This window comes from Homo sapiens, chromosome 6 (genome assembly GCF_000001405.40).
Source record: "Homo sapiens chromosome 6, GRCh38.p14 Primary Assembly".
NCBI classification, from domain to species: domain Eukaryota; kingdom Metazoa; phylum Chordata; class Mammalia; order Primates; family Hominidae; genus Homo; species Homo sapiens.
The window spans coordinates 156792149-156819920 of record NC_000006.12 but is presented as its reverse complement, the minus strand read 5'-3'; the positions used below and the strand labels follow the sequence as shown (position 1 = coordinate 156819920).

Sequence of the window (27772 nt, the reverse complement as noted above, 5' to 3'; positions counted from 1 at the left end):
CAACCATGCTGGCCTCCACAGGGCTCTAGAAAAACCACACATTTCAAATATGTCATTCTTTCACCTAGAATGAGCTCTGTTCTCCTCCTGCAGAACTCAGCTCCAACGTCATGTCCTTAGAGGAGCCCTCCCTGAACTCCAGGCCCGGGCAGGATCCTCTCAGAGTAACAGTGGGCTCATCTGTGTGACTACTTGATCAATGTCTGTCCCCCAGCCTAGACTGTCCCAGAGAAACAGGAGTACGGAAGAGGAGAAAAACAAGTATTGAACCCATTTATAGCTATCATCCAGGTGCTACAGAATAAGTCCAGAAAGGAAGACTATTTTGGTTCCCTAGTTTTTCCCTGATTTTTATAAATTGGCAAAACCTATTATTAGCTTCATCCCCCAAAGCTCAGCAGCTTGTAAGTCAATTCAATGAGTAAATTACTGTCTGACTAAGCTACACTTTTCAATTTAATTTAGCAAATGTAATAATTTTATGAACAAACCAAAGGCTATATATATTGTTTATTTTGAGAGTAAGTTAGATCTAAAAGGAATACCAAAATAGTAATAGAATATATTTCCATTTTTCCTCACATTTGTTACTCTTGCTACCCAAAAAAATTGTAAAGCTTTTATCATGGCTTTAACATTTTCTAACATTTACATCTCTAAGTATGCAGTATTGTTCATAACCATGTGTCACTACTGACAGCCTAGTAGCAAGCACTTATTTAAGAAGGAGAAATAATATGGTATATTTCCCATACAAATACAGATTCAAATTGAGAAAGAAGCTTTTGTGAGACTATGTCAAATTTTAACCCCACCACTTGTAGCTCTGTGATACTGAAGAAAGCTACCACTTAACTTCCTTGCACCTCAGTTAATGGATCTGTACACAAAGAACACTACCACTATCATTTCAGAGCTGTTACAGAACTGGAGATAATACATTCAAGTTCTTGGTACATAACAGGTTTTTTTTTTTTTAAAAGGATAGATTTTATTATCATCATTATTATATGGAGGTATAATTCCAGAATAATCAATGAGGCATGGAAACCCTCTACTCCTCCATCAATGTGCAGAAGACAGACATTGCTAATCAATCCTAGCATTATTTTCTCTAAGTCCAGTAAGCCTCAGAATCTTTTGTCCTGCAGAGTTGCGGGCAGTTGTGTCAACTATCAGAATTTGCACAAGCAAAAAGTAATTTGCCATCTCCAGTAAAATGGAAAGAGCCTAAAAGTATGTCATCAGGTACACCTGGGTTCACATCTCTCTCCTACTTCTGACTAGCCATGAAATGTTAAGTAAATTATTGAAGTGCTCTAAGCCTCAATTTCCCCACCTCTCAAGTAAAAATAATAATACCTCCCTCAGACAACCATTCAAAAGATGTTTAGTGTGATTTGCAAGGATAAACAATTCCAAACACATATCAGAGCACTACGTAAAGACAGAGAAGTTACTAATTTCCCCAGCAATCCCTATGGTTGCTACCATGCCTCTTTCCAACTATTTTATCAATATTTTAAATAAACAACTTAAAAATTGTATTAAAATGCCAGTTAAGATAAGAAAATTACCAACTGACTTACCTATCTTGGGACAAAGGGTGCTTGCCATGCTGATACACAGGCTATTTGCCCCTGGTTTTAAAATGCTTTTCAGAGATATGACCCTATTAGATATCTAATTTGTCAGAGCTGTAACTATGTGTAAGCATATATTGACTCTTACTGTAATGTGCTTCATTAAAGAAAAACAAGTTAACATGACTAATATATGGTCAAATCTTATATTCTAAAAAAAAAAAAAAAAAAAAAAAAAATAGGGCAACTAAATTCAACATATAAAGGCCAGACAGAATCTTACACTGAAGGAGAGAAGATTGCTATATAGATGCTATTAGGACAACAGACAAAATTAGAATGTAGACTGTAGGTTAAAGTATGCAATCAAATCTAAGTTTCCTGACAGTGATAACTGCACTGAGGTGTGTGTAAGAGCATATGCTTGCTCCTAGGAAATACACCCTGAAGTATCTAGGAGTAAAGAAGCGGAATGTATACAACCTACTCTCAAAAATGATTCTGAGAAAATGCATTATAAATAAATGATGGATGAACAGATGGATAGATGAACAGACAGAATAATAAAGTAAATGTAGCAAAATGTAAAAATGTAATGCATCAGAATAAAAGGTACATGGGACTTCTCTGCACTATTCTTGCAACTTTGCTGTAAATTTAAAATTATTTCAAAATAAAAGTTTTGTGTGTGTGGTTTTTTTTTTTAAGAGTCAGACAAGGTCCTGCTCTGTCACACAGGCTGGAGTGCAGTGGTGCAATCAGCTCACACAGCCTCAAACTCCTGGGCTCAACCCATCCTCCCACCCCAGCCTCCCACATAGCTGGGACCACAAGCGTGTGCTACTACACCTGGCTAATTTTTTTTATAGAGATGGGGTCTTGCTATGTTGCCTAGACTGGTCTCAAACTCCTGGGCTCAAGTGATCCTCCTGCCTCAGCCTCCCAAAGTGCTGGGATTATGGGTGTGAGTCACAACATCAGGCTGCTTTTTTGATACGGATTCTCTCACTCTGTTGCCCAGGCTGGAGTGCAGTGATGCAATCTCAGATCACTGCAATCTCCACCTCCCGGATTCAAGTGATTCTCCTGCCCACCACGCCTGGCTAATTTTTTTTTGTATTTTTAGTAGAGACAGGGTTTTGCCCAGGCTGGTCTGAACTCTTGACCTCAGGTGATCCACCCACCTCAGCCTCCCAAAGTGCTGGAATTACAGGTGTAAGGCACCATGCCCGGCCTTTTTTTTTCTTTTTTTTTTTTAATTAAAGGGCAAATGGGATGAAGTTCCTTATTGTTCTAACGTGCGATAATTCTAGAATCTTCCCTTCTCCCTCCCTGCCAGACCTTCTGATTATGCTGTGGTATCAAAAAGAATGTGGACTGTTAGAGACACTTCTCCTTTCTGCCCCATTCTTTGATCAGAAATCTTATCAATAAACTTCCTTGAAGATCAAAAGTAAGAAAGAGGACATAAAGGGGTCCGAAAAATCCAAACTCCAGAAGGACAAATTCAAACAAACAAGGTTAGCCTCAAGGTGACAGGCCCAGCGACCTATCAGGCCTCAGCCCGCCCTGTACCTGGACAGCCCTCTTATGCACCACCAAGCCGATGCCTGAGCACACAACTCCAAACCCATTTCTAGAACACTCTGTACCCAGCACAGCTGTGGCTGCCCTGTAAACGGAAGACGCACTTCCAGCCTGGGGAAATACCAGTGAGTCCAGCAGCCTGCCTTCACAAGGCTCCACCGTTCCCCACAGCTCTCTTATTTAACAGATACTCAATTTATCACCATCAACTGCAACTCATTGTTTATCTCTGCCTCCTTTATCAGACAGTAAGTTCTTTAAGGCCAGATATGTTTTTTCCTCACCCTAATTTTCCTTATAGCCCCAACTTCTGACACCCAATGGACAACCATTATTGCTATTATTTCTTTAATAAAAAAACAAAATTAAAGAAACCCAAGTGCATCTTTTAACCCTTACCTCTCTCCAAGCCATCCTTTTCTAAACAATATTGTACTGTCTTCCTAGCTGTGTCAAGTATAAGTAATAAAATTATGAAAATCGATATGCTGTCTGACTTATAACAGGCATTTAATAAATGTTTGGTATGTGACTGCTGGAAAGACATCCATCTCCTATTCCAAGTGACTTCTGAATTCAAACTATAATGCTCCAAACATAGGCATTTTTTAATTTCCATACTATAATGTCACTATTTCTAGTATTCTAAAAACAGTATTTCCCAAAGTATATGAATAGATGTTATTGTAATTAAGAATGGTAAATGTGTATAAAGCGCACACCATTCTTCAAGATTCATAACATATATTAACATGAGAAAAGTCTAAAATGTCCTATATAGAAAAAACTTACTTAACTTGGTTGAACTCAAACCTGCCTGGGCAATGTTTTTTAAAGCAGAACACAGGAAAACATGAACCAGGATGACATAAAAATGTAAAAATGCATTCCATTTTCACTGTTACCCAGGCCTACTTAGGTAAACAAACAAGCAAAGTGTCACTAATATAAAGATAGATAGAGCTTACCTGTCGATTTTTATATATAGCTGGATAGTAACAGCAACAACAAGGTATGCTGGTCATATATCCTTAGCATTTATGGCAAATTATTAATCAAGTCCCACCTGAAACAATTTGTTAAATTGATTTTAATCACTGGGCCTCTCATGTGAAGCTTTGTATAATCAGCATTTCATTTACAAAATTAATTGCCTGATTGATTTTCAGGAGGCAGTTGCTGTCATTACCCTGCTGTCATAACTTCTGAGTAGGGTGTCACAACATGAAATTCTGACAGTATGAAAAGCACTGTTATTTTAAAAATGGGTGTGGGGAGAAAGGGAGAAAGGAGGAAAACTAAAGAAGTTACATTATCCTTTTCAGCCTAAAAAAGTTCAAAGTGTTTCATGCTAATTACACTCAATATCAATACCCTTCTGCTAAGTGAATTAATATACCAATCTAGCATCAGCGCACGAAGGATCTTTACTATCTTAAAATAATAACTAGAATGTATATGGACAAACTCAACAGTAGAAAATTTTACCCTACGTTACAAAATATACACATGTCTGGATATGTCTATATCAAGATAAAAAGAGCACTATCTTACAGTGGCATGCTACTTGTCTACTGCCAGCCATTTCAATTTCCCATACTCTTCTTTTCTTAGACTTTCTAATAAAAAAGCCATGACCAGAAATTTTAGGAATTTACAATGGAGACACAAAGTATATCCACTTTAGGTATACTCAAAACACGTAAGCACGCAGTCTTTCAACAATATTTGAATATTATTGTTACATACACACTTTTATATTGAATTTCTTGCTCACTATTTAATATTTAATAGTCTATTGATAATTGATGGGTCTTCACCTAAAAACCTGTCATCACAATTAACGGAGATTAGGCTAAAAAGCATTTGTTGTATTAAAAAAAAAATGAGGAGTACAGAACAAGGGATGAAAGGGGATTTTTAATAGTTATTGAGTATTATCCTCCCAAAAGTGAGACGGCATTGCCTACAACATCCTATTTCAAGTGCACCCACATAAACATCAAACTAGCCAAAGATTCTACTTTTCTTTACCATCAATCTGCCTTCTCAGAAAGATGCCCAATTCTACACAGGTCCCTAAATCTTGGGACCCCATCTCTCCCGCAAGCTCATGGTTGCATTTCCCACATCCTCAACATTAACTAAAAGCAGGATTGACCACGCCAAGCCAATTTGTTTTCAAAGGCATAATATAACTTCCAGAATATAGAGGCGGGCAGGCTTAAAACAACCCCCATTTGCTGCAATCCAATTCCAAACACAGCCTCTTTTAAATAAGACACCTTGAACTTAAAAGAAGTCCCCTGTGGAGACCAGATGTACTTTACATTGGTGCTTTTGTTTTTGAGACAGGGCCTCTCACTCTGTCACCCAGACTGTAGTGCGGTGGCAATCATGGCTTACCCGGCTCAAGTGATCCTCCCACCTCAGCCCCCATAGTAGCTAGGACCATAGGCGCGTGCCACCATGCCCAGCTAAGTTTTGTTGTATTTTTTGTAGAGACGGGGTCTTGCCATGTTGCCCAGGTTGGTCTGGAACTACTGGGCTCAAGTGATCCTCCTACCTCAGCCTCCCAAAGTGCTGGAATTACAGACGTGAGCCACCACTCCAGATGTATTAATATTTTACATTCCTTTCAGTACATGGAATTTTGATTCTTACGTATTCCTTTAAAAATAAACATCACCTTGTAAATTTACTCTATTATCTTGTGACCAAAGGCATTTTGTTTGCTGGCACACTGTACCCACTCTCGTGGTGCAGGCTACCGTGAAGAATCCACAGCGCGGGAGCATGAAGGCAGGGTCTGACCAGCGCACACATCCTTGAGATGGGGTCTGGAGGGCAGGCCCCTCCTGAACTTCTCGTGCTATTCCACTGCAAAAAAAACAGCAACAGCTCCCAGTTCTTGCTTGGCTCACAAGGATGCCCTAAGTATTGATAAGGTAATGTCTGCAAAGCGCTGTAAGCTCTGGAGAGAAAGGTCTTATGAAAGCCTAATATATGTCTAGGGTCACTCCTTAAGTGACACAAACTGGAATCATTTTGGAGAACAGGGTTCGACAAATTCAAATGCATATCAGTTTAACCCTGTCATTTAAAAAGAATCATATAAAGGGAAGACAGAATATTCTCTTACACATGTGCAAAGGTAGTGGAGACACAACACCGCACCTGAACACTTAATTCTAACTTCACTACTTCCTGTAACAGGATTCTACAGTATATCAGAAATTGTTTAGAGCAGTAATTCTCAAGGGTGAAAATGAATGAATGCTACATAAATAAGAACGAGGGTTACAAGGAGGGTCCGGTTAAAATACACACCCAGGATAGCCTGAGCGCAATGGCTCGCGCCTGTAATCCTAGCACTTTGGGAGGCCAAGGCAGGCAGATTGCCTAGCTCAGGAGTTCGAGACCAGCCTGGGCAACATGGTGAAGCCCCATCTCTACTAAAATACAAAAAAAAAAAAAAAATTAGCAGGGCGTGGCAGCATGCGCCTACAGTTGTAGCTACTCGGGAGGCTGAGTCAGGAGAATTGCTTCAACCTGGGTGGCAGAGGTTGCAGTGAGCCAAGATGGTGTCACTGCACTCCAGCCTGGCAACAGTGCGAGACTCCGTCTCAAAAAAAAAAAAAATATATATATATGTATGTATATACATACGTATGTGTGTATATATATATGTATATACATACGTATGTGTATATATATATGTATATACATACGTATGTGTATATATATGTATATACATACGTATGTATATACATACACACACACACACACACACACACACACACACACACACACACACCCAGGATTATAATTTTCTATTTGGAAAAGAAAGGAGGAAAGCTTTTTTTTTTTTTTTTATAACATACCACATGAAAGTGGAGCTTGATAAAATAATCTCAACTGTTGAGGATCTGTAGGAAAAGTCGAGCTTGTCCCATCAAGGGAGATGGGGGCTGCGGGCCTGGTCTTTTGGGAGGAGATACTGAAAGGTGGAAGGGGTGTAAGGAAACTTACATTTTCAAAAGAAGGCATGAGTTAGAAAGGATTGAGAAACAAAGATTTAGATGAAAGAGGAAACACATTACCTCAGAGGCCATGCCCATTCATTTATTTGTTCATTCAACATTGTTTAAACTGAAAAAATATTAATGTACAAGGCACTATGAAAAAGATAAGCAGAGGTATAAGAAGGTCCTTGACTTTAAGAAACAGAAGAAACAAAAGATGTATACAAATAATACACTGCAAAAATAAGCTTATAAATACTATAGGACAGAGGCTTATAAATGCCACTGTCCTATGAGTTCAGGGGAGAGTAACCACTTCTTTCTTGAAGAAATGGAAGGATTCATGGGGAATTCTTCATTTAAGGTAGATAATAATTAAAAAAAGAAATCAGCCTGGGCAACATAGCAAAACCAAAAAATACAAAAATTAGCCAGGTGTGGTGGCACATGCCTGTAGTCCCAGCTACTCATGAGGCTGAGGACAGAGGATCACTTGAGCCTGGGAGGTTGAGGCTGCAATGAGCTGTGATCATGCCACCACACACCAGCCTGAGCGACAAAGGAAGACCCTGTTTCAAATAAGAGAGAGAGAGAGATGCAGAAATATCAAGGCACAAATACAGCAACAACAGACAACATTTAATGAGCACCTCCTGTGCCCTCGGCACACTATAGGTGATTTACACACAGCACAACCAATGCGAACAAAAATCCTGCAAAGTAGTTAATGTTGCCAACCACTATTTTAGTTGAAGGAAATCATCTCCTAGAGTAGGTAATTTGCCCAAGGTCATATTATAATATAAGGGTCATGATGCTTTTTGGGGAAGGCATCTATATATATACCCCAACTGATATCCCTTGAGATAAGCAGAATGTAACTAGAAGACTTTCTTAGCCTGCTACAGAATGAATTGTGTCCCCCACCAAAATTCCTACATCAAAACCCTAATGTCCAATGTGATTGTATTTGGGACTAGCGTCTATGAAGAGGTAATGAAGGTTAAAAGAGGCCATGAGCATGGGTTCTAATCTGACAGGACTGCTGTCCTTATAAGAAGAGAGACCAGGCTTCTGGTACAGGCATGCACAGGCTCTTGCATCCTCTCTCTCCCCCTGCACATGCTCAGAAAGACCATGTGGGCACACAGAGAGGTGGCAGCTACCTAAAAGCCCAGGGAAGAGGCCTCAGAATGAAAACTACCTTGCCAGCACCTTGATCTCGGACTGCCAGCCTCCAGAACTGAGAGGGAGAAATTCTGTCTGGCATTTTGTCATGGCAGCATAAACAGACCAACAGAAACCACTGCTATTTTTATGAATTATAACACACAACCTGTAGTTGGCAGAATTCTAAAATAAATCCATGGGATTTATGCCCCTCGTATCCACACTTCTGTGTAATCCTCTCCTCTTGAGTACGGGTAAGACCTGTGACTGGCATCTAACTAAGAAAATATAGCAAAGGAAGAGACTTTGCCGATATAATTAAAGCCCCTCCTTAATCACATGACATTAAGTTAAAACAGTGGCCTGGATGGGCTTGACATAATCTGGTGAGCCCTTTAAAAGAGGGTCCAGGCCTTCCCAGAAGTTACAGATTCTCTCTCTGCTGGTGGCATTGAAGAAGCAGGCAGATATGAATTCTACAGCCACCAGGAAATAAATTCTGCCAACAGTCTGAGGCGGCCTTCCCCAGTCAAGCCTCTAGATGAGAATGCAGCCCGGCTGACACCTGGATTACAGCCTCTACGACCCCAAGCAGAGTATGGCAGCTAAGCCATGCCTGGACTCCTAACCTCCAGAAACTGACATAATCGATGTGTGTTCTTTTAAGCCACTCAATGTGTTATGCAGCAACAGCAAACTAATCCACAAGCTAATACAAATAATACACATTTCATATAGCTCTTCCTCACTCTTGCCCCTCCCACATAAGACCTGCTGCTGTGCAAAATATTGGTGTTGGTGCTCTCACATTCTCCAGAAGCCTGAAGACACACGATTCCAGAAGTTATTGGGGGCTGATTCCTCATCTTTCAGGCCTTGACTCAAGGATCACCTTCTATATCAAGTTTGTCTTGAAACCACCAGGCAAAATGAAAATGATCAAGAGATCAGAGACCCCTGAGGAAACCTGTGTTCTAAAATTTAGAAGGTTTGGTTGCCATTGTCTGTTTATGTGTCTTCTGGACACCAGAGGCTGTGAAATAGCAAGAGAGTTTACAAACCAAAGGAGAACACCCCTCTCGCTTTACAAGGAAGACAGAATGAGAGCAGGAATCCAACGCAGCTCCAGGAGCTGAGGCAAGTTCCTCAACCTCCCAGGCCTCAATCCCCTCATCTATAAAGCAGGCAGGCTGGCAGGTGGATCTTTGGTAAATGGCAGCTGTTACCATTTACACTTTTATAACCAGAACCTACCACAACGTATATCTGTAGATGGAATCAGTATGACAAAATATTCTTGAGAGGTCACCCTAAATTCTAACTCAAAAAATTGCAGAAATGCTAGCAATAATACCAATATAGGACAATGTGTACAAAATAGTGAACTGAAAATAAGTAGTTTAAACTGTGACTATTTAATAGTACATGTGTATAAGCTGACAAGGAACAGAAATGATTTTCAATAGTTATTTTTCCCCTTCCTATATTTCACATGTAAAGCAGCAGAGGTCACACATGGGGCCTGCTGCACCTGACAGTCTTCACCTCCCTCCTGAATCTGATTCCTCAGCCACATGCTGTGCTGATTTCCCAGATGATTGCTTAAATCCTCAAGTTCAGAGCTGCATCTTTTTGTCCTCTGCATGCCACCTGACCACATGACAAACTGTGCCCACCTCCACAGAGCTGACTTTACCTAGCCTACCATGCTAAGCCCATGTCAGAACCAAGGCCCGCTCCACTTTCTGGTGGCCCTCAGCCACCAGACTTGAGAAGGCTACTTTTGAATCATTTTTGAACGAACCAAGGGAAAGGGAGTCCTTTTTTTTTTTTTTTTTTTTTCTTTGAAAAAGGCAAATCTTCACATGCTCTTGACAATGGTGGTGGTACAGGAGCCTCAGGTCTGCCCACTTATCTCAAACCTACATCTAACCCAGTAATTCTATGTAATGCAATTGATTCAGCAGTACCATTTTACAATTCTGACTGGGTTTCTCTAAAATCCTGTTTATTAAGTTGCTTCCTTTAAGCATGCATAATTACTAAGTTGCTTCCAACTAAATCAGATATCATATGGAAAGATTACACTGCAACAGTGGAAGAGCACTCCAGGGATTATGTTTCATCAAGATCTCAAAATTCAAATAGGCGAGAATTTTACAACTGTAAAATGTCTTCTTAAAAAGAAAGCTTAATTTATACACAGGATGCTGGATCCGTAAAATGTCAATATCCCATTATAACATCCTGTGTACAAAATGACCACATCTCTCACATAGCACATGAAGCTAAGGCCAGCAGACTCAATGTGGCTCTCACGTGCTAACTTCCTCTTAATCAGGAGGTCAGTCATGGTAAGACACTGCTCAGCAGTGCACAGAGCTGAAACAGACTGAGCCTTTATGTGCCTGCTTGAAAGTACAGAGTAAGTAACGTAAAGTAGGCCAAAAAAAAGACACCTGATACTTTATAAAATTAGGTTATTGATGTTTTACTTTTAAAAGATTAATAGCAAATCAACAAATCAAATTACTAAAATGAATAAAAACCTCCAAAAAGAAACTTCAGTGATTTGCTAAGCCATGTGACTTTGATTAACTTTAATTAGAGTCACACAGATAAAACAAACTCGTGTGTACAAATCTTAAGACATTTCTCCCAAAGCACAATGAAATACAAATCCTTAACACTGTTTTTAATCAAGGATTTTAGTGCCTCTAAAAACATTCGTTAAAAGAAGTTTCTCTCCTTTCATCAAGTAAAAATAAGAGCATTGATATTTTAAAACCAAATGAACAAATAAAGAATGTGCACAACTAATGAATAAATCCTTATTAAACAATACAGATAATGTTTTTATTTTCAATTTTCATAGTGGCATGTAGATTAGAAAAAGACTTCTTTATAGAGAGTTAGTACACTTATATATATTCAATTTTAGCTGAGACTGAAAACAAAACAGGTAAAAAAGAGAATGAAAGAAAAAAGTATGATTGCAAGGAAATCTGTGGTATGAGGACTGTAAGAGAATTACAAGCATTGACTTTAGTAACAGGGCTGCTCTGGTTCACGGTCAATGTAGGCTGGAGCCCACACTCACAAGAGCACCACGTGATAGGCTGCCAAGAACACAATGAAGGCTCCCTTTTTTCAAGAGAGATTATTTACAAAGTCATAGCCTACATTTGACTAGAATACCTATTGAGTACCATACCAAAAAAAGAATGAGAACTCTGAAGTATTTTAAGATCTACATTATACCACTACATGTTCTCCTTTCTGTTTTCCCTGTTCTTATTTCTAAAGCTAACAAGACAGAATGCAAATAACTTCGGGAAAAATAAAATAAAATCCAGCTGATGTCTTCCAAATAGGAAACGCTCTCATCTCTCAATTACTTTTGAAATTTCAATTACTAAATCCAATTACTTTGAAATATCTACCTCTGCTTCTGCTTTGGGATACAATAGGGTTAAAGCCTCAACAGTAACACGGCTTAACAATGAAGAGGTTGTATTTTTATAGCACACTCATGGTAAGATGTTATGGACAGCGCTCAATGACACGGGAGTCTAGGACTGCATCTGAGGCTGTCAGAAAAGGAAGTCACGCAGGACTCAGACCCAAAGACCCTATCCTGATCCTTCCGGGCAAATCCTGCCAACTGCCTCAAAAGAGGGTGACATTCTAAAATGATTCCACAGTCCACAGCAAAAAAAATGATATTGTGTTTTTTCACTGTTCAGTGACTGCTTAGACAACTGAGAACCTCTCTTGCTCACACAACAAATTACCCAAAGCAAAAAGTCGAACCACTGTGGTGTGATCCAAGGAACTTTCTGTAAGGAAAAGGTCAGAGAACACGTACAATATCATCTTATATACAGATGTTTATATTTATATAATTGTCTATGTTCACATGCAGTATTTTAAAATCAACTAAAAGACACATTTAACTTAAGAGCATATACTTCTGGGAAGGGGAAGCAGTAAATGAGAGTTTAAATATTCAACATACACGTTTTTGCCAGCGTTTGAATCTTTTAATAATCAAACTATACTAATGCACTACATGTCTGTAACTCTCTTTTTCAAAAAAAAAAAAACCTTAAGAAAAAACCTCAAAACTCTAGTGGGGGGAAATTAAAGAACTGACAGAGCTCCTAGAACATGAAGAAACTCAACTAGATGGCGGGCAGTAAAAACCAAAACACAACAGAGAACCCTGAGCTTGGTTTCTGACATGCAAGCTTCTTGCTTAAGGCGTTTCCGACACCACGTGATCCGCTGGCTCCCTTCACCCTGGGCTCTTCCACTCCATAGATCTGAACTTTCTCCCAGCTTCCTGTTAGCTGAGATGCTAGAGAATAAAGAGTTGTGCAAACAAAGATGCTTCACTGGGTGGGGCGTGGGGGGGTGCACAATACTTGGACGGAACTGGAAATGGAAAAACGCACGCTGTCCAGGGGTTGGCAAGCTGCGGTCCTCCAGACAAATCTGGTCCACCGCTTGGTTTTTGTAGGACCCATAAGCTAAGAATATGTTTTACATTTTTAAATGGTTGGGGGAAAGAAATCAAAAGAATATTTTAAGACATGTAAAATTACATGAAATTCAATTTCAGCATCCATAGCTTTTCTGGCACGCAGCCTCCTCCCACGTTCATTTACGGATTGTCTATGGACACTTCAGCACTGCCTCAGCGGAGCTGAGTAGTTGAAACAAACATCATCTGGCCCAGAAAACCTGAATTATTTACTATGTGGCCCTTCGTAGGAAAAGTTTGCTGACCCCCTGATCCAAACGTGTCTCTAAGCTAAAGAATCACTGTAACACACCACAGCAACAGTGTGAGGTGCAAAAGCTCAGATTTGGGTCACAAAACCTGGTTTGAAATAAAGTCGTGTCCTTAGCCAAGTCACTGTGCTTCTGCTTCAGCACACACGAAACAGGGATATTAACCAAACCTCGCAAGATTACTGTGAGGACTAGATAAGAAAAGCACTTTGGAAATTATTAAATCATCTGTAAAGTAGTATTATTAAGCAAAACCAAACAATCCCCATTTAAACTCTGGTTGAAAATATGATACAGTAAAGTCTGTGAAATGTATTTTTGTGAAATGTGTTTTTAGAAGAAAGGACACGTAGAGAGCAGGAACACCTCCAAACCAGCTCTAAGGAGGTTCTGAAAGCCAGAGGTAGAACCTGTTCTTCAACTCAGTGGCACGGTAAGGCATGGGGTCCCAACTTGAGAAACTAAAAGAACCTTCCAAAGACCATAAGCCTTTGCTTTTTTTATTTAAAAACCTTTAAAAGTTTGTTGAATGTGCTGAACGTGAGTTTATCACTTATTGAGGACCTGGGCAACGCACCCTTCCAGCAATTCACTTAATCCCCATTTTATGGACAAGAAAACAGAACCTCAACAAGGTTTATGGTTATGATTTTGGGACCCACCATTAAACCTAATTTAGTGAATGTGACACAGAAAAAGTGGCCAATACGGAAATTAGAAATGAGCTTTCTAACTGGAGTGAGGGGGAACTCACATTACAGGGTTTCAAAGCTGAAAAATGTGGCTGGGCACAGTGGCTCACACCTGTAATCCCAACACATCAGGAGGCCAAGGCAGGAGGATCACTTGAGGCCAGGACTCTGAGACCAGTTTAGGCAACACAGCGAGACTCCATCTCCACAAAAAAATTTAAAAATTAGCTGGTTGTGGCAGTGCGCATCTGTGATTCCAGCTACTTAGGAGGCTGAGATGGGAGGATCACCTAAGCCCAGGAGTTACACGCTGCAGTGAGTTACAATGGTGCCACTGCACTCCACTGTCTCTAAAAAAAAATAAAATTAAATAAATAATTAAAAAGTTGCAAAGTATATGTAATTCTTTTTCCTATTTTTTCTTCCGTGTATGGAAAGGAAAGAAAATAAAAGCAAAGGTGACATTTGGATAGAAAAAAAATTTTCTTGTAGGCCCTCTGAGAGCAGAGAGAGCATACTCCTATAGGCAAACCAATAGCTGCCCTTCCTTGGTGAAGTGTAAACCTGCTAGGTTTCCTCAAGAATAGTAATGGTAACAATAAAAGCTGACACTCGGACAACATCCTATATGCTTTAAACATGCGACCTCATTTAATCCTCAAAATAACCCCAGAACTTAGATATTATCATTATTCCCATTTTACAAAAAATGAGTGGCAGAACTGGGGATTCAAACAGACCACTTTACTCTCGGGCCTATCCTGTCTCATTCCCTCACTACACATCCAGCACAGCAGGCTGCAGGTGGAGGCAAAGTGTCTCCACCAGATTTTCCCTAAGATTTAAATCCAATGAGCCAATACTACATCCCTGAAAAACTAGGGCCCAACCCAGAATCTCTAACTTGGCCTACTGAGTAAGCTGAGAGAGGCCTGTTCCTGCCAGAGTAGTATAAGCAAACAAATGCATAGTTATAATTAGCAATTATTAGCTAAACATCCAAGGGTTGGTAAGTGAAGTACTAAAATTTAGTGAGATGTTTACATTTGTTAAACTCTTGTCCTATTTACATGTCACTTTATAAGTACTGGCCATTAGTAATACTGCCTAATCTTTAAATTTTATATTTTAAGGGTGGGTGAAATAGGAACATTAAGACACAAAAAGGGCCAATTTCTTTTTTTTTTTTTTTTTTTTTTGCCAATCAGATCACATCTCTCTTAGTAGTAAAATTCTTCAATGGTTTCTATGACCCCTGGAATAAAATGTAATCTTTTCATGATACGTTGATATGATTAGGCTTGTCCCCACTCAAATCTTATCTGGAATTATAGTTCCCATAATCCCCATGTGTTGTAGGAGGGACTTGGTGGGAGGTGATTGAATCATGGGGATGGCTTCCTCCAGGCTGTTCTCGTGATTGTGTTAGTTCTCACGAAATCTGATGGTTTTATAAGGGGCTTCCCCCTTCGCTGGGCACTCATTCTCTCCCCTGCCACCCTGTGAAGAGGTGCCTTCTACCATGATTCTAAGTTTCCTGAGGCCTCCCCAGCCATGCAGAACTATGAGTCAACTAAACCTCTTTCCTTTATAAATTACCCAGTCTCAGGTATATCTTGATAGCAGTGTAAGAACAAACTAATACAGTAAATAAAGCTCTCTTTATGATCTGGCCCCTAATTATCAATGTAATCCAAAATTGAGGGGTGTTTTTTTTTTTGCTTTTTTTTTGAGACGGAGTCTTGCTCTGTCACCCAGGCTGGTGTGCAGTGGTGCAATCTCAGTTCACTGCAACCTCCGCTTCCAGGTTCAAGTGATTCTCCTGCCTCATCCTCCCAAGAAGCTGGAACTACAGGCGTGCACCACCACACCCAGCTAATTTTTGTATTTTCTGGTAGAGATGGGGTTTCACCATGTTGTCCAGGCTAGTCTCGAACTCCTGACCTCAACTGATCAGCCAGTCTCAGCCTCCCAAAGTGCTGGGATTACAGGAGTGAGCCACCATGCCCAGCCTTGAGGGGTGTTCTTTAGAAACATTCTCCATCATACCAGGCAATTCAACGTTACAACTACTATTACCTCTGCCACTAACATTTAATGAACACTTATTTCACATTGGATGTAAAGCTATATGCTTTACACACCTCAACTAATTTAGCTCTCTTAGCAACCACGTAAATTACGTTTCATCATCCCTATTTTGCAGATGAGGAAAACAAGGCTAAGTGTTTCCTAAACATGATGAAAAATGGCCAATTGTTTTAATATGTATTGGAAAAAAAGGTAATAACAGACACCCAGGAAAAATCTTACAGGAAAGCCCACCCAAGACAGGATGTGGAATGGGACACTTACAACTAACCCACTCAATGTGGGCAGCTGTGGAGGGGCAGGAAGAACTAGATCAAAAAAGGAATTTAAAAAAAAAAAAAAGAGAAAAAGATAAAATGAAAGCAAGAAAAAAACACACCATGAAAACAAAAATAAAGCATTCACTTGAAGAGAAAGGAGGGAAAAATCATAAATGCAAAACGAAGGCAAAGGTAAGTCTAGGTAAGTTTAAGACAGGTAAGTACAGAGGGAGGAAGATGGTGGATGGATAAAGATTTATAGATAGACACACAGCTTAGAGAACACTGAAACGAAAGGAAAGGAAAGGAAAATATTTTGGTTCTCTCTTAAAAAGGTAAGTAACAGCAACTACAATCTTTGCAAGATCCATTATTCTTCTATACTGAAAAATCACAGGAAATGTACATACATTTCTATTATACAACATTATAAATGTGGACTGAATTTCATAAATAAAATGTTGGCTCTTAAATCTTCATTGAAAAGGCTTAATAAATGTACAAGACCACATGCACGAAAATTCCATCATCTCTGCATACTAGAGTCAATCTGATAAAAAGAAAACATCGTTGCTTGGAAGTTGTATAATCAATTTCCTATACTCTTTACATATACCTATCGCTATAGCAGTAATTTAAAAAAAAACAAAATAGGTTGGGAGGACAGAAAAAAAATGTTTATACTCACACATACACCCATCAGAAATAAAAACTACATGGAAACATGCAAAAGTATAATCAGCTGCATTAGCATAAGGATCACGCTTTAATTGTTTTTCATATTTGTAGTTATAATAAAACTGTGAAACATATTGTGTACATACACAAATAACACACAGCTACATACTCATAAACACATATGTACACATATATTCATCCACCTCTTTGCTTATGAGATGCTAAAAATACTTAGAAATATAAACAATAACCCTCAACTTATACTTAGCCACAAAAAAACAATGCCAATACATAATCTTTCTCCTTATTTAAAAGCTTTGCACTCTGTATGGCACATCTGTTTTGGCCATTCAATGACCTACATTAGAAATCAAAGCCCCAGGGGCTAGGAGAGCTGTAGCCATCTAATAGGTGGGGATCTTGAGAAATCCTAACCTAAGAACCTAAATAGAAGCTTCAAAAAGAAAAGTGAAGGAACAGTCAAAAATTTGAAGTCCTCCTTATTAAACCTCTGGACATTCCTTAAATTAACATTTGATATTTTAAAACTAAAAAGTATATGATTTAAATATTTTATTATTTTTCAGGTTAAGCATTATTATTCAAACTACTAAATCCTAAAAAGAAGGGTAAAATATTCCAAGTAGAATGAAACACAATGAATGAATACGAAAGAATATGAACATAAATAACTAACATCCTTTACATATCATCAAGCTTTCAGAGACACTAAAAAATGTATTTTTGCTTCATCTAATGATGATGTGAAATAAAATGTTTGCAAACAGGAAGTTTATTTCTTCTAATCCATAGCCTACAGGACTTCCTAATTATTCCTCATAGCAACACTATAATCTAACACTTTCAGAAGGGCTGTGATTTTTCTGACATAGATGGAGGTCTCCTCGTGAAGACAAGCTGTGAAAAATTGGGTAGGAGAGAAGGAGAAAGGTGCCGTTTACACATTTATCTGCTTGGCTCACACCTTCGATAGAACAGCACCAACCAGTTAAACATTCAGTACTGCAATAATTTTGTCTCCATGCTTTTGACAATTTGTTTCACGCCTCATTTGCTATGAAGAGTTAAAACATTTTAGTCAATTTCGAGAAAGCAATTCGATTTTTTTTCCACACCAAAATGCACAATCCATTTCAACTACCAGGCCACAGGTTAAAGTTCAAACTGCAACACAGACAGAAATCAAGGACTTTCCTTCAAACATCGTGGAAGAAAAAAAACACTAACTAAACTTACATTTATTTTCAGTGGATATAAAACAAAGTGAAGTAAAACAGCCTTCCACATGTTTGGTTCCAAACAGCCTTTTCTCTACTACTAAAAAAAAAGCAAAAACACAGACCCCACCCTGCTCTTACCATCCTTAGACAATATGGCAGAACCTGGATAGATGCTTCAAGCAGAGGAAAAAATCTTTCCTTGTTTATAATGTGGTTTTAATGGTTTTTCATTATTTTTAAAGTTTAGATAACTGCAATACATTTGTACTATCAAAGATAGTTTCAAAAACAATGATGAGGCCGGGTGCGGTGGCTCACACCTGTAATCCCAGCACTTTGGGAGGGCGAGGTGGGTGATCATGAAGTCAGGAGTTTCAAGACCAGCCCAGCCAAGATGATGAAACCCCGTCCCTACTAAAAATACAAAAAATTACCCAGACCTGGTGGCGGGCACCTATAATCCTAGCTACTCAGAAGGCTGAGGCAGAGAATTGCTTGAAACCGGGAGGCAGAGGTTGCAGTGAGCCGAGATTGCACCACTGCACTCCAGAGTGGGCAACAGAGCGAGACTCCGCCTCAAAAAAAAAAAAAAAAAAAAAAGATTATTCAAGATCCTACCCTACTGACAGCCATCCAAAATTCAAGTAGCTCACATTCTACACTTGCTAAGAGCCAGGCACAGTACTAGTAGGTTTAAATTGTTATAAATACTACAAGATGCAACTCAAGAGTCTCTAGAACACTGTCCCAGAGAGCTTTCTACAGTGATGAGAATGTTCTAGATCTATTTTGCAACTTATGACAGACAGCTACTGACAACAGATTGTGCTGCTGAGCACATACAATGTGGCTAATGCCACTGCAGACATTAACTAATTTCATTTAATTAATTTTTTTTTTAAGAGACACGGTCTTTCTCTATCTCCCAGGCCAGAGTGCAGTGGCTCACTACAACCTCGAACTCCTGAGCTCAGGTGATCCTCCACCTCAGCCTCCCAGGTAGCTGGGACTACAGGCACACACCACCATGCCTGGCTAATTTTTTAATTTTTTGTAGAGACGGGGTCTTACTATGTTGCCCAAGCTGGTCTCAAACTCCTGGGCTCAAGTGATGCTCCCGCCTCAGCCTCCCAAAATGCTGGAATTACAGGTATGAGCCACCATGCCCAGCCTAATTTTAATTTATTTTATTTGCTTTTTTTTCTTTTGAGATGGAGTATTGCTCTGTCACCCAGGTTGAAGTGCGGTGGTACAATCTCAGGTCACTGCAACCTTCACCTCCAGGGTTCAAGAGGTTCTCCTCATTCAACCTCCCAAATAGCTGGGATTACAGGTGCCTGCCACCAAGCCTGGCTAATTTTTGCATTTTTAGTAGAGACGAGGTTTTACCATGTTGGTCAGGCTGGTCTTGAACTCCTGACCTTAGATGATCCACCCGCCTCGGCCTCCCAAAGTGTTGGATTACAGGGGTGACCCACCACACCCAACCTAATTTTAATTAATTTTAATTTAAATAGCCACACAAAGCTGATGGCTGCCATACTGAACAGAGCCATTTCAGAGTATACTTTTAATGCTGAAAAGGTTTTATGTTGGAAAAAGGTTCTTCAGACACATGAAATGCATCCTGATTCTGAGTTTTCTCTTTAGGAAAGGGGAATTGTAATGAAAACTAACCAAGTACAAAGATCCCCTTTCACATTCTCATCAAAAGAAGAAATACGCTTCAGTTCAAATCTGCTTTGTAACTGGTGGGACAGGAGGGATGTGTATAATAAAAGTGTTTTCCATGGCAGGGGTGGGGGTGAGGGTTCCGGGTGGGCACCTTAGAGCCATGTCACCTAGGACCCCGAAAACAAGAAAACTCATTTCACCTGCTGGCTGGGAGTCTTATTACTGCGCAGCTTCTTCAATGATTCTGTTTCACAGGTCTCTCTAACCAAATGGTATCCTCTTGGAGGGAAAGGAAGATCTTTCATCAGCTTTTCCAGTATCTTCATAGAATATCAAATGATTTGAGGCCGGGTGTGGTGGCTCATGCCTGTAATCCTCACACTTTGGGAGTCTGAGGCGGGCAGATCACTTGAGGTCACGAGTTCGAGACCAGCCTTGCCAACATGGTGAAACCCCATCTGTACTAAAAAATACAAATATTACCCAGGCATGGTGGTGCACATCTGTAATCCCAGCTACAAGGGAGGCTGAGGCAGGAGAATCGCTTGAACCTGGGAAGCTGAGGATGCAGTGAGGAGATAGCACCACTGCACTCCAGCCTGTGCAACAGAGCAAGACTCCGTGTCCAAATATATATATATCAACTGATGTGAATGCGCAAGCAAGCAATAAAAAAAATCTATCATAACGCCACCTTTCACAATGTAAATTCAGACCACTTGTCCAACTCTACTCATTCCAGTCCCTCCTGAGAGGCAATACAGCATATATGAAAAGGCAATGGGGTCAGAATGCCTGAGTGCAAACTGCAGCTGTGCCACTCGCTAGATGTGTGCCTCAAATGAGTACAGTAATAGAACCTACCTCACAGAAAATGCATATAGAGTTCTTAGCACAGTGCTTGGCACCTAGAAATTATTTGATGAATTATTTTATATTATTAATTATTCAATACTTAGTATTTCACTACAACAGCAAAACAATTGATTTCCCTTTGAGGTTCCACATATCATGAGGGAATCTGACCTACAGTCTGTAATACTTGAGACTTGAGATGGGACATGTACACGAGTTGAAATTTAAAGAGTGGTTTTTTTATAAATATATGGTAGGAAATACACACCTGTGCAGCATTAGCCATTTTAACATCAGAGAATAACCTATACACACAGAGAGAAAACTATTTCACAACTGCCAAGTTTTTTAGTATCCAATCCTGAATGACAGCTCTCAAACATAAGGTTTCAGAGGGGGTAAAGAGAAAATGTACAATTAACAACATTTACTCATGCTGACCATGCTTTAACCCAAGATTTTCGCCACACAAGTGGCAATGACCAAAACTAACTCCCCAAATGCAATAATCTCTATGAAGTTTCTCCAGACACTCAGAGATGCCTCCACCAAGCCAGCTGACTCACTACATCAAGGTGACAATCCAGTTTACCAAAGAGATCAAAGGCATCCAAAATATACTGGTAGTTCAATATATTACAAAACTAATCTTCTGGAAATATTTGTAAATAATCTTCCCCTCAGTCTACAAAGGTAGTGAAATATTCTCCACCCTCAACAAGGAGCGAGGGCAGCACAGGCTTTGGAGTTCATCTGCCTCAGGGCTGACTCCTGGTACCATCATGTAACATGGCCTTGGCCAAAGCGCATGCACCCTTCGTTGTACGTTACCTTAGAATCTGTGAAATGCAGAGGGGAAAGCCTGTCACCTAGGAGTGCTAAGGGAACTCTATCACCACCACCAGCATAATCTGAGCCCCACCGCATGCCAGGCACGACCCCAGGCACTGGGCCACAAAGAGCCAGGCGTGCTCCCGCCTTCCCCTGAGCAGCTCCAGGCCCACCGGAGAGGAGGAAGGATGGGTGGACATGCAGGGGCCCCAGGAGGGAGCGACCAGCACAGCACCCAGCAGAGAAAGCAGAGCGGCAGGCGCAGGCGCTCCACCCTCTTCCAGCAAAAGAACAACACATCAAACACCCCGCTCCTCTTCCAGCTGTCCAGAGCCTTTTTCTGGCTTCCTATCCATCTCTCGCTCCACCTACTGCAAACTGCCGCCTTCCCGACCACTCCTCTGAAGGTCACCAGTGACGAAATGACCACAATGTCAGCCCCCAGGCTTACTGGGCATTCCTCAGTGCTCACCTCAGTTGTGCATGTCTTCCTGCCCCCTGTGGAACTCTCCTCAGCTTTTCCATCGCCCTTTCTGGCTCTCTGGGTGGCTCCTCTTCATCCCTAAAGGTTGGTGCCCCCTAGAACGCCCAGGCACCTCTCCTCACCAGGCACGTGCTCCGCAGGGCAGTGTCATTGGCCTCTCAGCTGGCACCTCAGGCTGCGGCCCTTGTGCCCGCCTCAACTGCACATCCCTCTTTTCCTTCTGCTCCAGCATCTCCATCGAGCTGTCTGGAAACCATCTCAACCCAACACGTCCAAATCCAAAACCACAGCCTGGCACCAAGTACATGAGATGATCCAAAAGCAGGAACACCTTCAAAAAATCCAGCACTGTATGATTCCTTCCCATAGAGTCAGGTCAAGAACCTTGCGCTTGCAAGGTTCTTCTGTCCAGCCTTGAGGAAATAAAGGTGGCATCGGGGCTGCCACTGGTCATTTCAACCACGGGCAATGGAAATGCTACATTTAACAACTGTCCTATGGCACAAGAGGCTCAGGCCGGGCATCTGAAAGACTGGAGAAATAGCTGCGATAGCTCCTCTCCAAACTGATTTTACTGCATATTCATCTACAGCTCCATTAAAACCAATTTTTGAAAATGTTCCATTATTTTGAATTCCCTTGTACTGCTGTTCATCCCTACAATAAACGGCAGCACCCCCATGTGGGTGGTTGGTCTGCTGTCTCTGGGATTAAATTTCTCTGGAAGGTAAGCCTTATGAAAGTAGGGACTAGGTTTTGTCACTGTGGTATCCCCAGCCCCTAGAACACTCTGCCACACAGCAGGCACTGAATAGATACCCAGCAACTGAGTAGACGGCAGCAGCTATTTGATGAATAAAGGAAGTATATACACAAAGGGGCATGGTATCTGGCAGCTGCTGGCAATCAACTCAGGCCTCCCACCCACCCAACCCTGACTCACCACTCTCCTTTCCCAGGGTCTTGGGGTATGGAAGGCATCCCTCCAAATGCCTCTTCTACCAGGTTGGTGTCTGAGGCTCTCAAAGACCTCAAAGCACATGAGGCTGGGCCTGCCCCTCACTGAGCCCACTCACTCAGAGGCCCCAGGCTCTGGCTTCTGCTCCTACGCCCACCCCAGGGCTTAGCAGAGCCCACCATCTCACCACTTGTCTGCTTCCCCCAGCCCCACACACTAGCCTGCGCCCACAGCTGCATGACGAACTTCTCCACTCTGTCCTTGTAATATGGCAAAAAGGATAACTATTCTCTATGCCTGGAAGAGGAGGAAATGGCTTGATTCTTCTCCAACAGAGAGAAGCTCATGAGCATTCTGACAGTTATTTTATTAGGGCTTTCTCAGCTGCTTCAGAATGTTCTCATTGCTGAAAATCTTACCACTAGATGAATGATACATTACTACTGAAATTCCCTGAAAGAAATAACACAAGTAGACAGGTGTTAGCTTTCTAGGCAAAAGATACCTTTCATCATAATGACAGAGATTTAAACGTGGCTGCTAAGACATGAAGATGCCCAGTCCCTTCATAAGTTTAAAAAAAAAAAAAAAAAGTAAAGGTCCAGTCTTACAGACACATGGCAAAAGCCTAAAAAGCAGGTTACAGATTTTGTTGTTTTTTTCTTCCTGTGGGCTCTTAAAAATAAACTGCCCACTGATTTGCTTGAGATGGGTTAGGCACAGTCAGCTTTAACTTGAAAAACTGGAAATCCATGATAACCCTGATAGTGATACATTACCATAAACAATAAAGCAAGATGAAATATTATGAAATAGGAAACAAGAGACAGCAAAGACTTCATTTAATTCTAAGCTAAAAACAGAATTACAGGGGTATGCCACTTGGAAACAGTCTCAGCCTCAAATTAGAGAGAAAGCAGATGAGGAGCACACACGCTGAAAACCCAGACAACAGGCATGAGCAGAGCAGCGCCGAGCTTTCCCACCGCAAACAGGCATGAGCAGAGCAGTGCCGAGCTTTCCCACCGCGCAGGAACCCCAGCAGGACCGCTTACGTGAAATTTAACTTACACCCCTTGTCTAAGACAAGGTTATGAGCTAAACTGAATTTTTTTTTAAAAAGCTGTGAGATGTAGTTTTATTGGCAATTAGAAGAGAGGAATAGTTGGGGACATAAAGAGAAACTTCCCAGTACTGTACTTTACCCATAAGGCACAGTAATAATAAGGAAGAGAAGGAAGGGCGCAGAGGGTCTCGGGAGCCCTCCCACACCTGAGGAGGCCTGGGCAGCCTGGGGAGGGAGGGAAAGAAGGTGTCCGCTGAGTGCTTTCCACAACCTCCTAACACCACTGAATCTGGCTCCAAAATGACCGTGTGGCTACAAAGACAGAAATAATCAAGACTCTATGTCATGAAATAACCTCACTGAAGAACTGGAGGAGTTTTCTGCCTTACATCTGTTCTTTTAACTATGCATTACCGTCTTGATGATTTTTAGATATGCTAATTTTGGTGTTTGGTTGACAACTTTTAGCACCATAGTACTTCAATCTGGGTACATAATGAATATTATATTTTGTTGGTTTCTTACTCTAAAATTATCTCTCATCCGGCTGCCTGGATTTCCCCTTCTCTCCTACCTTCCGGCCTCCCTTCCCTTATTCTCTCTTCCCACTTCCTCGGACTCATGGATTTCTGGACTCGTAAACCCCAGCGAATCTGAGACACCGTCCAGTCTGTGCACCAACTCTCTTTCATCCAACACAAATGACCTAACAGCCACCGTGTGCTGCCTTACTCCTTCCCAGGCCCTGCAGCAGCCTCCGCCTCCTGAACCAGCCAAGCCAAGCAGGCTTTCCTCTAAATGGCTGCTGACTAGTTCACGGCCACCCTGGGTAACTATGCAATGACCCAGACGGTGGTAGGGAGCAACGACCCAGATAATGGTAGGGAGTTTCCCTGAAGAACAAATGTAAATTAATGTCTGGTGATGTGATCAGAAAATCCCAATGCCACCCTCCAGCCCTTGTAGCCCAAATTCTTGCCTCTTCTATGTCTGATAATGACTACAGAGCCAAAATACACTAAAAGCTCCTGAATTATAAGAATGTGGGCCAGGTGCAGAAGGGCTTCACGCCTGTAATCCCAGACTTTGGGAGACCAAGGTGAGTGGATCACTTGAGCTCAGGAATTCAAGACCAGCCTGGGCAACATGGCAAAACCCCCGTCTCTACAAAAAAATAACAAAAATTAGCCAGGTGTGGTGGTGCGTGCCTTAACTCCAGCTACTTGGGAGGCTGAGGTGGGAGTCACTTGAGCCCAGGAGAGAGAGGTTGCCATCAGTGAACCAAGATCGCACCACTGCACTCCAGCCTGGGTGATGATGTGAAATTGTCTCAAAAAAAAAAAAAAAAAAAAAAAAAAGAATGTGCCAGGCTCCATGGTTCATGTGAATGACTACGCCCAGACTCCCAGGCCTCCCAGGCCAAGGCAGGAGGATTGCTTGAGCCGCCCAGAATGTAAAGAGACCAGCCTGGGCAACACAGCAAGACCCCCATCTCTACAAAGAATTTAAAAATTAGCTGGGCATTGTAGCATGCGCCTGTGGTCCCAGCTACTCAGGAGGCTGCGGTGGGAGGATTGCTTGGGCCCAGGAATTCAAGGTTGCAGTGAGCTATGATCATGCCACAGCACTCTAGGCTGAGCGACAGAGCAAGACTCTGTCTCCAAAAAAAGAAAAGAAAAAAAAAAGAATGCAATTTTACATGTCTTAGCAATAACAAAAAAGAAGTCTTTTTTTTTAAATGTTACCACTTGCTCTTCAGTGGCCCTACTGACAGACAGAAAGGTGGGCTTCCAGGCCACTCCAGAGCCTGATGGCATCTGAGTTCCTGGGGGCAGGGGTTACTTCCCTAGGTGATTCTGAAGCACAACTGGGTTTGAAAACCACTAGTTTAGTGGAAAGAATGTAGGCTTTAGCACCAGAAAAACCAGGGTATTGAACAAATTTCTAAATTCTACCAGTTTCCTTGTCTATAAAATAGAGATAATGATGATGCTTTTGCAAGACTGTTGAAAGGATTGCAGATAATACGTGCAATGTGCCTTGGCACACATACTAGGAGTGCATTAATGGTAGTCATTATTACTATTACTATTGCTTTTTATTATAGCACTGTTATTTATGGCTCTTCTAAGTCTTTCTCTAAACCTCCATTTCTTTATTTGAGAGGCAAGAATGAGAAGCAGCATATCCATAAGAGTTTTGCCAGTCACTCCTGACTAGAACGACAGGCTGATTTCATGTTTCCCCAAGTATCAGTCCTATGCAGCCCACCCTTTTTGAAAAACCATGCAAGGCCGGGCCCAGTGGTTCAACACCTATAATCCTAGCTCTTCGGGAAGCTGAGGCAGGAGAACTGCTTGAGGCCAGGAGTCCAAGACCAGCCCGGGCAACACAGTGAGACCCCATCTCTGCAAAAATTTTGAAAAGTAGGCAGGCATGGTGGCATGTGCCTGTAGGCCCAGATACTCACGAGGCTGAGCTGGGAGGATTGCTTAAGCCCAGAAAGTCGAGCCATGACCTCACCGCTGCCCACTAGCCTGGGCAACAGAGTAAGACCCTGTCTCAAAGAAAAGGAAAAAAAATCCCACAATGCTCAGCTGCTGACTCACGGACACCCTGACATTTCTGCTGCCTCCTCTGCACCCAGCTGGCTGCTCTCCTTCACTGTGTGCACCAGGAGGACCACTCTCCACTTGGCCATCCTGACCTTAATGACACACCTGCCTTGCTTCTTCTCCAATCACAGAATTCCCTTTTGCCTTCTCAGGTGCCAGCCATGCCTCATGCCCCCACCCCGGTATTAATCTGATATTAGGGCTGTGCTGGCTGCTGCATCTTCCCAGGTAGGCATAAAGATGCTGTCATCACTGGATTAGCGCTCCTTATGCCTGCCATGCGAACTGCAGTCCACGAAAGCCCCCACATTCTACAAGACTGTGATAAGATACTTCCCCCAATTTTTTTTTCATTGTCCTCATTTAAAAAGAAACAAGTCATCCTCGGATAAAAGGATAATTCTGCTTCCCCCATAGTCTATCGTATCCATTAAGCACATTCCCTACACAGACATCCTAAGGACTAAACCTATTTTACACCCACGGAAAGAGCCAGGTATCTATGACAGCTCCCACAGCGCCTGTAACGGATGCTCTGACCCACGATATTTCATAAACCCTAATGTACACAGGAAAAGCTCAGCTTTGAAAGCTATACAAAAGCACTCATAAATTTCAGACTGCCCTAAGCACCCCTCCTTTTGCTAAGACACTAGCTGGAGTACCACTTCAGACCCATTATTCTTATAACGACAACCTTCCTTATGCATCTCGTCCTATCAGCCTACTCAAGCACCATGACTATTATTTATACTGAATTTTACACTAACTGCAAGTATGTTTATTAACAAGGCAAAGATAAATGTTCTTTAAAACTAGCTTTGTCTAATAAAAATCCAAAAATGTGCTATTAATTACTTTTATTCATCATTACACTATGATGAGTCTCACTATGTTGCCCAGGCTGGTCTTGGACTCCTGGCCTCAAGCACTTCTCCTACCTCAGCTTCCCAAAGAGCTAGGATTACAGGTGTTGAACCACTGGGTCCGGCCTTGCATGGTTTTTTAAAAAGGGGGGGCTGCATAGGACTGATACTTGGGGAAACATGAAATCAGCTTGTCATTCTAGTCAGGAGTGATTGGCAAAACTCTTATGGATATGCTGCTTCTCATTCTTGCCTCTCAAATAAAGAAATGTAGGTTTAGAGAAAGACTTAGAAGAGCC

General features: G+C 41.4%; 1 protein-coding gene across 36 annotated transcripts in view, besides 1 other annotated feature; it reads right to left on the bottom strand.

The window, feature by feature from the left end:
- ARID1B (AT-rich interaction domain 1B) overlaps nucleotides 1-27772 on the bottom strand; it is a 434754-nt gene that overhangs the window by 390859 nt on the left and 16123 nt on the right. The window lies entirely within an intron of this gene.
- Nucleotides 10440-10640: a silencer, noted in NCBI's record as "peak6247 fragment used in MPRA reporter construct". NCBI's record gives its function as "represses an SCP1 promoter by STARR-seq MPRAs in K562 erythroleukemia cells {active_cell/tissue: K562}" and the evidence as "EXISTENCE:reporter gene assay evidence [ECO:0000049][PMID:32103011]".